General features: G+C 41.6%; 1 protein-coding gene across 2 annotated transcripts in view; it reads right to left on the bottom strand.

Annotated features, from left to right (window-relative positions):
- Positions 1–15,436, bottom strand: part of ZRSR2 (zinc finger CCCH-type, RNA binding motif and serine/arginine rich 2) — a 32,777-nt gene that overhangs the window by 3,770 nt on the left and 13,571 nt on the right. For both annotated transcript variants that reach the window (NM_005089.4, XM_011545589.4), the window contains 5 exons: positions 15,294–15,380; positions 11,220–11,258; positions 10,173–10,291; positions 3,601–3,814; positions 849–904 (listed from right to left, as the gene is read on the bottom strand). In NM_005089.4, coding sequence (NP_005080.1) covers positions 849–904; positions 3,601–3,814; positions 10,173–10,291; positions 11,220–11,258; positions 15,294–15,380 — 515 coding nt within the window. The remainder of the gene's footprint in view (positions 1–848; positions 905–3,600; positions 3,815–10,172; positions 10,292–11,219; positions 11,259–15,293; positions 15,381–15,436) is intronic.

Here is a 15,436-nt window from a genome sequence, read left to right as displayed (position 1 = left end):
ATCCTCCTGCCTCAGCCTCACAAATAGCTGGGACTACCAGCACATGCCACCACATTCGGCCAATTTTTAAATTTTTTTGTAGAGATGAGGTCTCTCTTGAAGCGATTCTCCTGTCTCAGCCTCCCAAGTAGCTGGGATTACAGGTGCCTGCCACCACGCCTGGCTAATTTTTTGTATTTTTAGTAGAGATGGGGTTTTGCCATGTTGACCAGGCTGGTCTTGAACTCCTGGCCTCAAGCAATCCTCCCACTTCAGCCTCCAAAAGTGTTGGGATGACAGGTGTGAGCCACCATGCCCGGCTTATATTATTTTCACATCCATTCTATATTTCTGTTTCAACTCTTAATATTTAAGTTTTAAATATTTAGATTTATTTAAACTTTAATTTTATTTAAATATTTTAAAATATATGAAAGCTGGGCCAAACACAGTGGCTCACGCCTGTAATCCCAGTACTTTGGGAGGCCGAGGTGGGTGGATCACCTGAGGTCAGGAGTTCGAGACCAGCCTGGTCATCATAGTAAAACCCCATCTCTACTAAAAATACAAAAAATTAGCTGGGCATGGTGGCAGGCACCTGTAATCCCAGCTACTCAGGAGGCTGAGGCAGGACAATCACTTGAACCTGGGAGGTGGAGGTGGCAGTGAGCTGAGAACACGCCATTGCACTCTAGCCTGGGCAACAAGAGCGAAACTCCGTCTCAAAAGAAAAAAACAAAATAAAAATAAAAACATAAGAAATAAAATACATGAAAGTTATATATCCAGTGGAAAAATCCCAGACATCAACAGAAACAGAACAACAAACTGTGACAAATCAGGAAGACATCCACAAGCAGAATACTTACGACTGGTACTGAACATATACATTGCCCCTCAGGTGAGGTTCCAAATTGCAGCTGACCTAGGGAGCAATGAAGAATGCTATCATAAAAAATTCAGGAAAAGAAACCAGCCATTCATCAAATGTTGTTTGTCCAGGCTAACATTCCCCAAAGTAGTTACCAATCAAAGATTGCAAAATAGAGATACTAGCTGACTCTTGCATCTATTTAAGGCGTACTTGGCACATGGCAGCGTGCCTGATCCCTGTTGGTCCAGGTCTGTTTTCTCCCACAAATATGAAATGTTTCACACATCCATAAAAATACAGAAGATATCAATCAGCCTATATATGCACTACCCAGATTTAACACTAACGTTTTCCACTTCTGAATGAGAATATTTACATATGTAAAACATTAAAGACTCAGTTGAAGCCCTTCTATCCCATTCTTCTCCCTCCTCCATCACATAGGTGAACACTCTCCACAGGCTAGGAGTGTAGCCTTCACATTCCAAACACAAACACACATATACATACATAGACCTACACAGACACAAATACAAATACACAGATACAGGCATATATACATACATCATATGCATGCCAAAACCCACACATATGTATCATACATATAAATGTCCATTATTTATAATGGGTATACACATATATATACATATGCAAAGAAACAGGTAATACGTATTGATAAACAACATATAGTGTTGCTTTGTATGTTTTAAAATTTTATATCAATAGTATTTATTCCATATTCTTTTTTCAAGATGTAGTCACATAAACTTAACTACTGTATACTGGATATACCAAATAATAAAACTTATCTACTCTAGAATGATGGTTTTTCAAGATGCTTCCAATTTTTCATCCACAAACAGTACCGCAGTCAGCATTCTTAAACAGGTCTCTGTGGGTATAAAGAGCTCTCTACTGTGCATAGCCAGGAGTGTGCCAATTTATAGGTTACACGTACCTTCACTAGGTATTGACAAACTGCTCTCTGAAGTGGTTTTACTAATGTACACATCCTCATCTACTCTTGGTATTAATAGAATTTATAATTTTTTTGCCTGATAGGTGTGAATATCATCCCATTTTCATATGTACTGTTCCTATTACTAGTTAGGTTAAATATTTGATCATTTGCCTTCAACAATGACAAATCTGATTTGTTTTTATATAATAGTATGTAAAAAGGTCCTCAAATATTCATACTAGTGTTTAGCGTTTATGTTCAAAATGAATCTATAATTTTACAAATTTGTTCCAGAGTATTTTTCTTAGGGTATCCCAAAACGAGCAGGATCCATACTCAGTGACAGTTTGTAACACCACCCTTAGAAGGAAGAATAAAAGGCCTCGGGAATCCATGTCAGCTGTGCAAGCCAGGATGAGAGAACTCTAAACAAAAGAAAAAATACGTTGTGGTGGTTGTGGTTTGTGGGTGCAGCCTGTTGCAAGTAAGGGTGCAATTTCCATTAACTACTCTGCAGTTCTGAAAGCAGCCCTCCCATTACCACTTCACAGAAGCAGTATAATCAAGAAACCCTACGAGGAAAACCACTGACGTAATCCAGTCCCCTCACTTTCAGGATAAGGAAAAGGCAGGAAGAAGTGACAAGGCTAGTCAAACCACATGGCCTCCTCGGCCAGTGCTTCTAACATGGTATTGTGTGGCTGTGACCAGGCAGTTCCACTTTAGCAGTTATTGCTTGTGCTGACAAGTAATGTGAAGACAGGAAGGCATATGCCCCAGAAACAAAAGGTTAAGGAGGAAAAAAAAAATAAAAAGAATTTTTAAAAATCTTGAAGTCGGTTGATAGAAGTATAGCCTTAAATGTCAGGAATATCTTCATTTTTGGGGGGGTGTTCCAACTTTTCATCATCATTTGCAACTTGCAGGAAAAAAAATCACGGTTCTATTCCTGTCTTTTCCCAAATTATGGGACAATTTCCCTGCCTTAACATAACAAAGGCATTCCAGCTCAGATCTGATGAAATCACAGACAAGGCAGGAAGCTTCACCCTATTAGAATTCAACTAATGGGTCCTGGGGGCAGCAGAGATTACATCTGGCCTTACCCTTGCATTAAGGAATATTTTAAAATAATTATGTGTCATCTGAATGCCTTTTTCACCAAGTATGCTGCATCACAGACCATGGTTTGTATAATACTATATTCAGTATTGAAAGAATCCAATGAATAAAAACAGTGTAAAAAAAAGAAGGGGGTTAGGTGGTGGAATCTAGATTTATGTTCCTGTGTGGCTCCAGAAGAAAGAACATACACCTTGGGTGGAAGCTAAGTCGGCACTGTCAACACAATGCACCAACAAACTTAGTGAGTGAAGTTGTGTCACACTGCACACGGAAGCCACCTACAGAGGAAGGAAGGGAATGCACCGTTTGTCACATGCAGCTTCTAAGTGAAGGACTGGATGGCTATATGCAGGGGACCTGATACAGAGAATTCATGTGCTGGAAAAGAACTGGAGCACAAAGCTACTAAATAAATGAAAGATCCTTTCCAATCTAGACCCCTAGCATTCAGGAAATACCATGCTAATATATGTTTATGATTTCATGTGGTATTGACGTGACATTGGCAACAAGGTAGGGGGTGGAAAGAGAGAAAGAGGGAAGTCACATTTATAGAGTGCTAGCGTGCCTGACCCCAGCTGAGCCTGTGTCCCAGCTCTCTTGTGCCATTAAGTACTGCAGGGTGAAGCAAACCAGTCCCCTCCTCCACACGCATGCCCACCTTGAACTGAATCACTTTCCCCACGTTCTTGAACTCGGGCAACACATCCTCATAGAAGTCTAGGAACTGTTGGTAGGTTTCTTCCTCGCTGTACTCCAGGCTTGCGTCAGGGTCATAGTCATCCCTCCTGCACTGCTCCATTCCAAACGTCGTAAACATGCTCTTAATAAGAAGGGTAGGACTGGATGTTGGGAAATTATGTTTACGTGAACATCTGCGTATGAAAGAAAAGCTTAAATTCACTAGGCCAATAGTTGAAAATTACTCACAAAACAACTGCTTTAGACCAGGCATGGTGGCTCACGCCTGTAATCCCAACACTTTGGGAGGCCGAGGCGGGTGAATCACCTGAGGTCCAGAGTTCGAGACCAGCCTGGCTAACATGGTGAAACCCCAATTCTACTAAAAATACAAAAAATTAGCCGGGCGTGTTGGCGTGCGCCTGTAGTGCCTATAATCCCAGCTACTCAGGAGGCTGAGGTAGGAGAATCACTTGAACCCGGGTGGCGGAGGTTACAGTGAGCTGAGATTGTGCCATTGCACTCCAGCTTGGGCAACAAGAGCGAAACTCCGTCTCAAACAAAAAACAAACAAAAAAACACTTGCTTTAAATTTTGAGATAGAAACTCATGTAATTTAGTTGTTTTGACTTAACTGAAAGATAATAAACCCCACTCAGATGCCAAGTTTCAGCGCTTAAGAGGATTTTTTTAAGTGTTGAAACTTGGCACTTGCTGTTTTAATGTCAAGTTGGAAACATTTCAAAGTTCATATACCATTCAGCTGCCTTTGAATGAAGTTCAGGAAGCCTATACATGTTGAACCATAGGGGAAAAGAAGGCCCGCTGATTGGTGTGACAGGATGTGGTGACAGGCATGAAGATGTCACATGCGGGACTGCTGAGAGGAAGGTGGGAACTAACAATGCAATCCTGGTTCTGTACAATCGTCAGTGGACTCAATGTTTAGACAATATAGTAATCCAAGAATTTCCAGTTAATGAAGCAATTCAATCTGATCTGTGTACAGCATCTTGTAGCTTTCATGGCATTTTTACATTTTTCCCCTCTGGTCCTTTTATCCCTTTAGGACAGTGGGGGCTAGTATTTTCACCACTTTGCAAAGACGGAAGCTGAGACCTAGAAAAGCACACTTGCCCAAGTCAGTCATATGGCTTGGAAGAGAGGGATCCAAGACATCTGCATTAATCTACAATCTGGTGCCTGTTCACGATGGGGTGTAATAAATACAATTTGTTTTTGAGACAGGGTCTTGTTCTGTTACATAGGCTGGAGTGCAATGGTATGATCATACTTCACTGCAACCTTGAATTCCCCGGGCTCAAGTGATCCTTCTGCCTCAGCATCTTGAGTAGCTGGCGCATGCCATAGGCGTATGCCACCACACCCGGATAATTTTATTTTTGTAGGGACGGGGTCTCGCTATGTTGCCCAGGCTGGTCTCGCACTCCTGGCTTCAAGTGATCCTCCTGCCTCAGCCTCCCAAAGCTCTGGGATTACAGGTGTGAGCTACCATACCTGCATCATTTAATTCTTATTTAATGAAGGTGGCCAACCATTATGAAGAACAATTTTATTTTCATAGTTTAAACTGGACCAAGGCTAAGCTGACCAGGCTGTACCTGAGTAATATTTCAAAAATCCTTCATATGAGTTTACTTTCTTACTTCCTTCCTTCTCCTAACATACAATGTGGAGGAAAAATGTAGTTCAAGGTTCCAAATAAACAAAATTTTCCTGGTTAGGTTGCTAGTTAAAAATTGGTAAGACAAAAACTTTTTTTTTTTTTTTTTTGGCGAGGGGAGTCCACAGAATTTAGGAAGAAAGAAAGTTGAAGAATAGGACGTGTTGGGAAAAAACAACAATGGCCCTGAAATGACTAAATGTTTAATAATACTCACTTTCCATGTCTGTAATGTCTATCTAAGCACCTACTGAGATAATGCTTACAGAATGCCCAGCATACACCATGCTCAGCTCAGAAATGCTTCATCAACGTTCATTAACGTGAAATTTTCTATTTTCCAAATGACCTCCTGGATTATTCAATTAGAGACCTTGTAATTAGATCCCTCTTCCCAACTACTGATAGAACAAAGAGCAAAGACTCAACCTGACTGGCAACACTAACAGTGAATCAAAATGTTATAAGTATGAAGCATGCAGAGAATTAAACAAGGAACTAATTTAATGAGGTTAAAATTCTGCTCAAGGGATTCCTAGATCTGAATGAACTTGGCCCTAGTTCCCAGGATGTCAAATAAGCATTTGTCAGTTTTGGAATAGAACCAAAGTCCCTGTCTGGGGAAAAATCCCATCTGGCCTAAAGACAGTCCTTATAATCTAAGTGTATACAAAAGGCCAGCCCTATAGCTTTTATTGAAAACTCAGCTAAGAGAAGTGACATTTACGAAGGCAGTCTAAAGCTGTGGTTCCAAGCCTGTGTGGTTCTCAGAATTACCTGGAAAGAACTGAGATTTCTTACTTCCTACCCTAGACCATCTGATCAGACCTCAAGGGGTGGGGGACCCATATTTTCAAAGTAGCTCCCTACCTGGTCCTGAAGATCAGCCATATTTGGGAACCACTGGTTTAGGGCATAATATTTACCCATTATTCTGATACTTAAGTCAGTTTGCTGCAAAAACCCACAGTTGTTGGATATTACCTTAGGCCAAGGATGGCCAATAAATGGTGTGGGTATCCAAATGCCCCCTCGGGTATAGCTAACTGACTACTCCTCTTTTTCTTCTTCTCAGGGAAGTGCTCCTGGTACGCATTACCTTTGTCCTACATAGAATCCCCGCATTGCATGTTAAAGTGAAGCTGCAATCATTTATCGAAGGTCACTGTAAGAAACATCCTCATGAAAATTACATATGCAACTGTTATAAAGCATCTATTAAAGTTATTGTCCACCTTCCTATTTAATGTCTTTGTAAAATATTCCAAGGGAGAAACCTTTAGAATCTGGTGCCAGGAAAATTTCTGTCTTTCTAGAGATACCACTCATTCTTCCTTTTTGGTAAGAATGACAGCTTACTATCTGCTTGAGATGAATTCAAATATGGAGAAATAAAAACCTGGAGAAAATAACTCACTTTCTCTTCCTTTCCTTGCTTTCAATTTCCTTTACTTTCTCTAACTTAATGTGCTAGATCACGAACCTTCTTTAAATCACTTTTGGAAGTAAGTGAGGTATAAATAGACCACTAAGTTTTACCTTCCATTAGTAATTATTACCTTTTAGGAGAAAAACAAATAGATTCCCCTCAAAGCTGTGACTCCAAAAAATACCAATTCCAGCATGGCTCTAGAATTGAACTCTGTACTAATTACAAAAACAACCAGCCAAAGAAATGCTGAGGTTATGGAAGTGTTCCTCTGATGCTCTGACAAAACTTAACGACAGAACAGAACAGCTGTACGATCTGGAGCAAGTCACCAAGGCTCTCCATAAAAAGGGAACAGAGCAGTCTACTTGTCTAAAGGGATGGTGCTGGATTTTGTAACTGCAAATTTCGCAGAATTTCATGTCACAACTTATCACTTGAATGATGAAAATCTCCACACTGCTGTTATACTTTGATAGTTGTGATGGTAAAATTTCATATGCCTATGAAAATTGTAAGAAATGTTCGCAGCCAGGCGCGGTGGCTCACGCCTGTAATCCTAGCACTTTGGGAGGCCGAGGCGGGCGGATCACAAGGTCAGGAGATCGAGACCATCCTGGCTAACATGGTGAAACCCCATCTATATTAAAAACACAAAAAATTAGCCAGGCGTGGTGGCGGGCCCCTGTGGTCCCAGCTACTCGGGAGGCTGAGGCAGGAGAATGGCGCGAACCCAGGAGGCGGAGTTTGCAGTGAGCGGAGATCGTGCCACTGCACTCCAGCCTGGGCGACAGAGCGAGACTCCGTCTCAAAAAAGAATAATAATAAAATAAAATAAAATAAAAAAAAGAAATGCTCGCAAACTAATTTGACCACTGTCCATATTTCCTTGAAATGACTTGAGGAGAGATGGGATCTGAGAGCATGACGGGCCATTCCCTCTTCCCACAAGGTAGGGCCTGTCAACCAAGTTCTCGAAATCGTTTAAGACATCTCCCCTCCTCTCACTTATGCCCAACAAAAGGAGAATTAGGCCGGGAGCAGTGGCTCATGCCTGTAATCCCAGCACTTTGGGAGGCCGAGGCACGTGGATCACAATGTCAAGAGATCGAGACCATCCTGGCCAACATGGCGAAACCTCGTCTATACTAAAAATACAAAAAAAATTAGCCAGGTGTGGTGGCATGCGCCTGTAGTCCCAACTACTCGAGAGGCTAAGGCAGGAGAATCGCTTGAACCTGGGAGGCAGAGCTTGCGGTGAGCTGTGATCATGCCACTGCACTCCAGCCTGGTGACAGGGCGAGACTCCGTCTCAAAAAAAAAAGGGGGGGGGGTGAGAATCAAGAATCAGGCTACCACGGGTCTTAAATTTGGAGGAAATGTTAGAGATAGATCCTACATGAGGGATCCTGCAGCTGGAAAACCTTAAATGCAATTTGGTTCAAGTACCCATGCAAATGTGAACTTACATGGAGTCTCAGTTGTCTCTGAAAGGTAATTCACAGTGCATTTTTCTTTGGTGGGAAGTTTTTTACACCAATCATTACCATTTCTTGTTTAGATAAAGTGGATATCTGAGAAATGGTTCTAAAGGTATCAAAGGGAATAAAGTCTCTTTCCTTTTCTTAGTTCCCAGTTTTTCAAGAGGAGGCTTTCTACTAGTTAGCAGATCCCATGACTCTTTTCACAGACATTCCAGACATCTGCAATCCCACCTCTAAAATACAAAAGGACATACACACTTGACATTAGTGGCTCTCAATCCTAGGGCACACTAGAGACACCTGAGGACATTTTGAAACTAAGGCCACCCAAGTCCCTGGTATTCTTATTATTTATTTATATAATATTTTTATATAAATATATATAAATATATTATTTATTTATTTTACTTTTTTTTTTTTATAGATACCAGGTTTTACCATGTTGCCCAGGCTGGTCTCAAACTCCTGAGCTCAAGTGATCTGCCTGCCTTGGCCTCCCAAAGTGCTGGGATTATAGGTGTGAGCCACCGCGCCTGGCCCTGATATTCTGATTTACTCAACTTGAGGTAGGACATAATTTTTTAAAGCTTTCTAGATGACTCTAATGTGCATCCAGGGTTGGGAACCACTGTTCTTAAAAAATGAAAAATGGTGTGAACGCTTAAATTCAAAAAGAAAAAGGAGAGAACCATAGAGAAGGATATATTTTCAAAGAAGAAGAAGAAGGAAAAAAACCTCACAGCATGGATACTTTTATGAATAAAGTAAAGCTGACAGATGACATATGGTTTCTGATTAAATACATCTGAATTTTACTATTCATATCCCTTTTCAGGATTAATAGGATGTTAAGGTTATGATTAGATCTTCTCTTCTGCAGAATATATGGTGATAATTATCAGATTTTGCCTCAGATGGACTCATTCACCATTAGGAATTATTTACCTACTTTAAGTTGTTCATTAATAAACAGGCCAAATTATAAAAATCACCATTACCTGGCATATAATAGGTGTTCGAAGACTTGCTAAATGACTGAAGAGATCAACACTAGGTTTCCACATGAACGTCTTCTTTCAAAAACATTGACCCAAAAGGGGCAGGGAACAAGAAGAGTGTCTCACAGAATAACATCAAGAGTCACAATAATGAAAATGCCAGCAAGCACTCCTGGGGCCCTGTTCTACGGGTGTGTGTGCTCATTTCGGCCTCACAGCCCCCTCAGAAAGATGAGACTATGTTTAATCCCATTTCATAGATGAGAGAACGAAGGCACACAGAGCTTAAGCAACTTTCCCAAACTGGCAGCCACTGAAGCCCGTTTTGAACCCAACGGTCTGTACCTGAGTCTGGGCACACTCACTGACAACAGAAATTAAAACACTTTTCCTCTCCTCATTTGGATCCTGTCTTTCACAGATATCCCTTTACACATGCCAAGTTTTGTTTTTTTTTTTCTTTTTTGAGACAGGGTCTTGTTTTGTCACCCAGGCTGGAGTGCAGTGGTGTGGTCATAGCTTACTGCAGCCTGGAACTCCTGGCACATGCCAAGTTTTAAAAGCCTGTTTTGGGGACAGTGTGTGCCCTTCAAAAAATAAAGCCAAGCTGCTCTAAGCTCTTCAAATATATTATTTCCCCAACCCAGTTGTCCACCATGGACTAATGCAAGCTCAGGAAGAAACCAACAAGCAAAGTGGCTTCCTAAAGATGCAGAATGCAAAGGAAGCACCCTCAGAGAACTAGGCTAAGCCCACCCAGGGAACAAGGATAGAGGGAACAGGGATGGTCAAAGCAGAGGATGATCAGCTGGGAAAACGAGAGCAGCAGCAAGAAGGCAGCAGATGTCTGATGACGGACATTTGAAATGGAAACATGCGCCTCTCCCAAAAGGGGAACTCAAAAACGTCAGCATTTTGAATCACTTCATTCTGACATGATAAAACAAAATTAGTTACCTATCTCCAAATCTGCAAGCTCCTGTTTTACTGTAGAAGGGACAATTAGCTCGATCCTTCTCCATTACTCTGAAATCCACGGGTGGTTCTGGGTTTTGCCATGTGGTACCATTTTCCAACTGTTGAAAATAACCATGACTTTACTGGTGGAGTAAAAACCCATGAAAGACGAAATGTTTCAAAGTATATTAAAATATTTTCCTCAAAGATAAACATTGTTTCATTTAATAATGCAAACATTTAAGTTGGAACAGGCAATCAAGACTTTACAAACAACGGTACTGAGACATGAGCTCCATGTCTCTCTTGGCTCCTGGTCACTTTCCTTTATCTGGTATCACTACTGCCACCAGGGGCAGTCGCCAAGGTTTCCATCCATTCTAAAAAGGGTCCAAGAAGGCCGGGTGCAGTGGCTCACGCCTGTAATCCCAGCACTTTGGGAGGCCGAGGTGGGTGGATCACCTGAGATCAGGAGTTCAAGACCAGCCTGACCAACATGGAGAAACCCCATCTCTACTAAAAATATAAAATTAGCTGGGCGTGGTGGTGCACACCTATAATCCCAGCTACTTGGGAGGCTGGGGCAGGAGAGTTGCTTGAACCCGGGAGGCGGAGGTTGCAGTGAGCCGAGATCATACCACTGTACTCCAGCCTGGGCAACAAGAGCAAAACTCCGTCTCAAAAAAAAAAAAAAGAAAAAAAGAGAAAAAAAAGGGTCCAAGAACTTATTAGGGAACCACCACAGACAGAAATAGAAGTTACTCTGATTCAAGGTAAACCGTCCACTGGAGGCTAACGGTATGTGATGTTGCTTAAACATACTGTAAGGACTCTAAACAGGTCCAGTCCACAGGGGTCATGAATACCATTTGTATTTGTTCATCAATAAAGTTTGTTGTTGTTGTATAAATCAAAGCATCATAAACATGAGTCCAGATATCCAAACATGATCTAACTAACCTACCACGAAACTAACATTACTGGAACTATTATTTCTAAGGAAACATTAATTGGTCTCAAATTATCAATGTAAGGTTTTAAAAATACCTCATTTTCAGCCTGATCCAGCATCTTCTGCAAAGCTTCCTAAAATGGTGCAAACACAGGACTAATAAAAACCCAGAAGTCAGGTAAGTCACATCTGGTTTCTCTGGTTAAGAATCTCAAGTGGAACAATTAAAACACACACACGCACACAAGTTCTAGTTTTCTTTTGAATCACAGATCTTTTGAAAAGCTTTCAAAGGATATATAGCTGAGACTTTTCTCTTTTTTTTTTGAGACAGGGTCTCACTCTGTCACCCAGGCTGGAGTGCAGTGGCGTGACCTCAGCTCACTGCAACCTCCGCCTCCCAGGCTCAAGTGATCCTCCCACCTCAGCCTTCCGAGTAGCTAGGACTACAGGCGCACACCACCACGCCTGGATAACTTTTGTATTTTCTGTAGAGACGGAGTTTCACCATGTTGCCCAGGCTAGTCTCGAACTCCTGAGCTCAAGCAATCCACCCGCCTCAGCCTCCCAAAGTGCTGGGATTACAGGCATGAGCTACCGTGCCCGGCCCATAGCTGAGACGTTCTATTCAAATAGAAAATTTACCAGATCACATTGCAAAATATTTAAAATAGTCTTATAATAGTTTCAATAATAGTAATACTTAGTATATTTGAGTATATATACCATGTCCTAGTTCGTAAAAGGGGGTATTAGTGAATATAAAACACAATGCTAGGCCGGGCATGGTGGCTCACACCTATAATCCTAGCACTTTGGGAGGCTGAGGCGGGTGGATCACTTGAGGTCAGGAGTTCTAGACCAGCCTGGCCAAGACGGTGAAACCCCGTCACTACTAAAAATACAAAAATTAGCCAGGTGTGGTGGCACGTGCCTGTAATCCCAGCTACTTGGGAGGCTGAGACAGGAGAATCGCTTGAACCCAGGAGGCAGAGGTTGCAGTGAGCCGAGATGACGCCACTGCACTCCAGCCTAGGCGACAGAGCAAGACTCTGTCTAAAAAAAAACGAACAAACAAACAAACGAAAAAACCCAAAAAACAATGCTAGATGAAATCATAAACATTTAGCAGAAGCTAAAATATGACATGACCAGTGGTAATTAGCATTTAGGAGAAAATTCTAACTTTTTAATAAGGCAAAGGAGGTTCTGCAATATGCCAGTAAATTTCTACCTAATTGGCATTTGAACAAGTTGTACCTATGTTTAACAGACAGTCTTATCTTCCCTAGCCCCTTAAAGCATTACATAAGACTCGTATGTCTAGTTGCTTATTTGTGGTGCTCAAAACAGAACTCTTGTCCTCTACACTCCCTGGCCCACATCCACCTGAATGCTCCCTCAGTGAATAGTGTTGCCAGTCTATCTGTCTATTCAAACTAAAAACCTAAAAATATGACTTGAATTCCTCTCTCTCTCCTTGTCCTCTGGTCAACATGGTGAAACCCTGTCTGTACTAAAAACACAAAAAATTAGCCGGGTGTGGTGATGGGCGCCTGTAGTCCCAGCTACTCAGGAGGCTGAGGCAGAAGAATCGCTTGAACCCGGGAGGCAGAGGTTTCAGTAAAGTAAAAATGATCTGTTAAAAAAGTCTGGTGCAGTGGTTCACACGAGCACTTTGGGAGGCCGAGGCGGGTGGATCCCTGGAGGTCAGGAGCTCGAGACCAGCCTGGCCAACATGGTGAAACCCTGTCTCTACTAAAAATACAAAAATTAGCTGGGCGTGGTAGCAGGCACCTGTAATCCCAGCTACTCGGGGGGCTGAGGCATATGAATTGCTTGAACCCAGGAGGCAGAGGTTGCAGTAAGCAGAGATCACGCCACTGCACTCCAGCCTGGGCGACAGCATGAGACTCCATCTCAAAAAAATTTTTTTTTTAAATGAATGATCTGTTAAAAGGTACAGATATAAATGAGACAGAGTCATTCCCTGCTTAAACCCCTTCAATGGCTTCCCATTATAGGAAACATAAAATCCAAACTCCTCCTTCAAATCCAGGAAGCCCTACATGATCTGACTCTGCTTACCCTCCACTGCCCCTTCTCCCTCAGCAACCTCCTCCACTGCCCCCTCTCCCTCAGCAACCTCCTCCACTGCCCCCTCTCCCTCAGCAACCTCCTCCACTGCCCCCTCTCCCTCAGCAACCTCCTCCACTGCCCTTCTCTCCTTTGGACTCTAGATTTCAGGTTCCCTGGCCTTTTTTCAGCCTTCAAGCTTCAGGCTTCTTCTTGCTGAGATCTCTCCACTCAGGTGTCAGCTCAAACATCACCTCCTCAGAAATTTCCTTGAGCAGGCAATCTATAGAAGCACAACTCTATTCTCATTACTCTATCACATCACTCTGCTTTATTTCTTTCTTTTTTTTTTTTTTTTTTTGAGACGAAGTCTAGTTCTATTGCCCAGGTTGGAGTGCAGTGGCTCAAGCTTGGCTCACTGAAACCTCTGCCTCCCGGTTCAAGTGATTCTTCTGCCTCAGACTCCTGAGTAGCTGGGACTACAGGCGCCCATCACCACGCCTGGCTAATTTTTTGTATTTTTAGTACAGACGGGGTTTCACCATGTTGACCAGGCTGGCCTCGAACTCCTGACCTCGTGATCCTCTCGCCTCAGCCTCCCAAAGTGCTGGGATTACAGGCGTGAGCCACCACGCCTGGCCTGCTTTATTTCTTTATAGCACTTAATATGATCACATTTTGAATGATCTGTTTTGCTTATCATCTCACACTCCCATATAAAAAACTAGCTCAATGAGAGCAAAGACTGTGTCTTTCACTGCTCTGTCTCTGTCCGCTAGCGAAGTGTCTAGCATACAGCAGGAACACATACTGCTGATTCTTTTTTATAAGCTTAGAATCTATTTCATTTCCCTCATTTCTCCTTGAAGTCTCACAGATTTCCTCTGAAACAAAAGCATTCAAAAGAGGCCTTAGCTGTTACTGAATTCCTGAAAGACCTCAGTTGAGGAACACTCTACTGTTAAAATGGGAATTAATTCCTCTCTATAAAAAAATGACAAGTTCCAAACAATTTTTCTGCCCCCTAAAAACCTAGCATGAACTTGCCTCATCTGGAAAGAAGTGCTCAAATAAAGGTGTTTAAAATCTGCACTGAAATTAACTGATGGCCTAAGATACAAAAAACAAAGATCGTGGAGGCTGCTTCTGCCCCATATTGACTACAATGAAGACACATGCATTTTTCCCAATTATAAGGTGATTATCCAATTTTATGCTATTTAAATTTAGCTGTATTACAAAAAAGACAAATCCTGATGAATCAGTCAAGGGAAGATGAGCTGTGATACCTCTGAAATAAATATACTGTCAAGGAATAGCAGCAAAACATACCAAATCAATCCTTAAAAAAGAATCCTGGAAGATAGAGAAGATACATACACACATATGCCTCACAGATTTTTTTTTTTTTTTAAATAAGCAACTGTGTGTTAGCTACAATTATCTTCATAGCCTAAGTGGAAGAGGAAGTCAAGATTTAATACAAATAACAAAAACTGTTTCCTAGTTCCTCAATATTTGAGTTCCTGATTTCTTTAAATCCTCTAATTCTTGCTGACATGTCATAAGCAGTTCTCTTATGACCTAAATAAATGTGGAAACAAAACAAAGTATTATTCTCTAAAGAAGTCAACTCATATACAGCAGAACCTCAGAAGAACATAACTTGCTATAAAGCAAGGGCTAGCTGCCTGTTTTGTAAATAAAGCTTTCCTGGAACACAGCCATACCCATTCATCTACATATTATCGATGGCTGCTTTCAGGGTACACTGGCAGAGTTGGATGTTTGCCACAGAGACCAAACCATAAAGCCTAAAATATTTACCATCTGGCCCTTTACAACATTTGCCAATGCCCAGTATAAAGGGTAAATAGGGTAAAGCTGAAGAAAACTTTAAGGAATCTGCCACTGCACGGACCCGAAGAAGAGCATCAGAAGGGAACTCTGGTGTTATGTCTAAACTGAAATATGATTCTTTCCAAACAAACAATGAAATGACAAGAAAAAGAGAAAAAAAAAACCCAAACTCTGACATGCCTACTGATTATTCTTCAAACTCATCACACAGCACATCCCATGACAGGAATCACCTCTTTTTCTTTCTTCTCCTGTCGTTTCTGCTCCTCCTCTTCTCTCTCTTTCCTCTGCTGTTCTTCCCATTGTTCCTTTAACTTTCTCTTTAAAGGGGAAGAAAAAGTAACTTTGTTTCAGTCACTTTTTAAAAACATTTCAC

This window comes from Homo sapiens, chromosome X, assembly GCF_000001405.40.
Source record: "Homo sapiens chromosome X, GRCh38.p14 Primary Assembly".
NCBI classification, from domain to species: Eukaryota; Metazoa; Chordata; class Mammalia; order Primates; family Hominidae; genus Homo; species Homo sapiens.
Note: the sequence above shows the minus strand (reverse complement) of the source record. Positions and strands in the feature narration are given on the sequence as shown.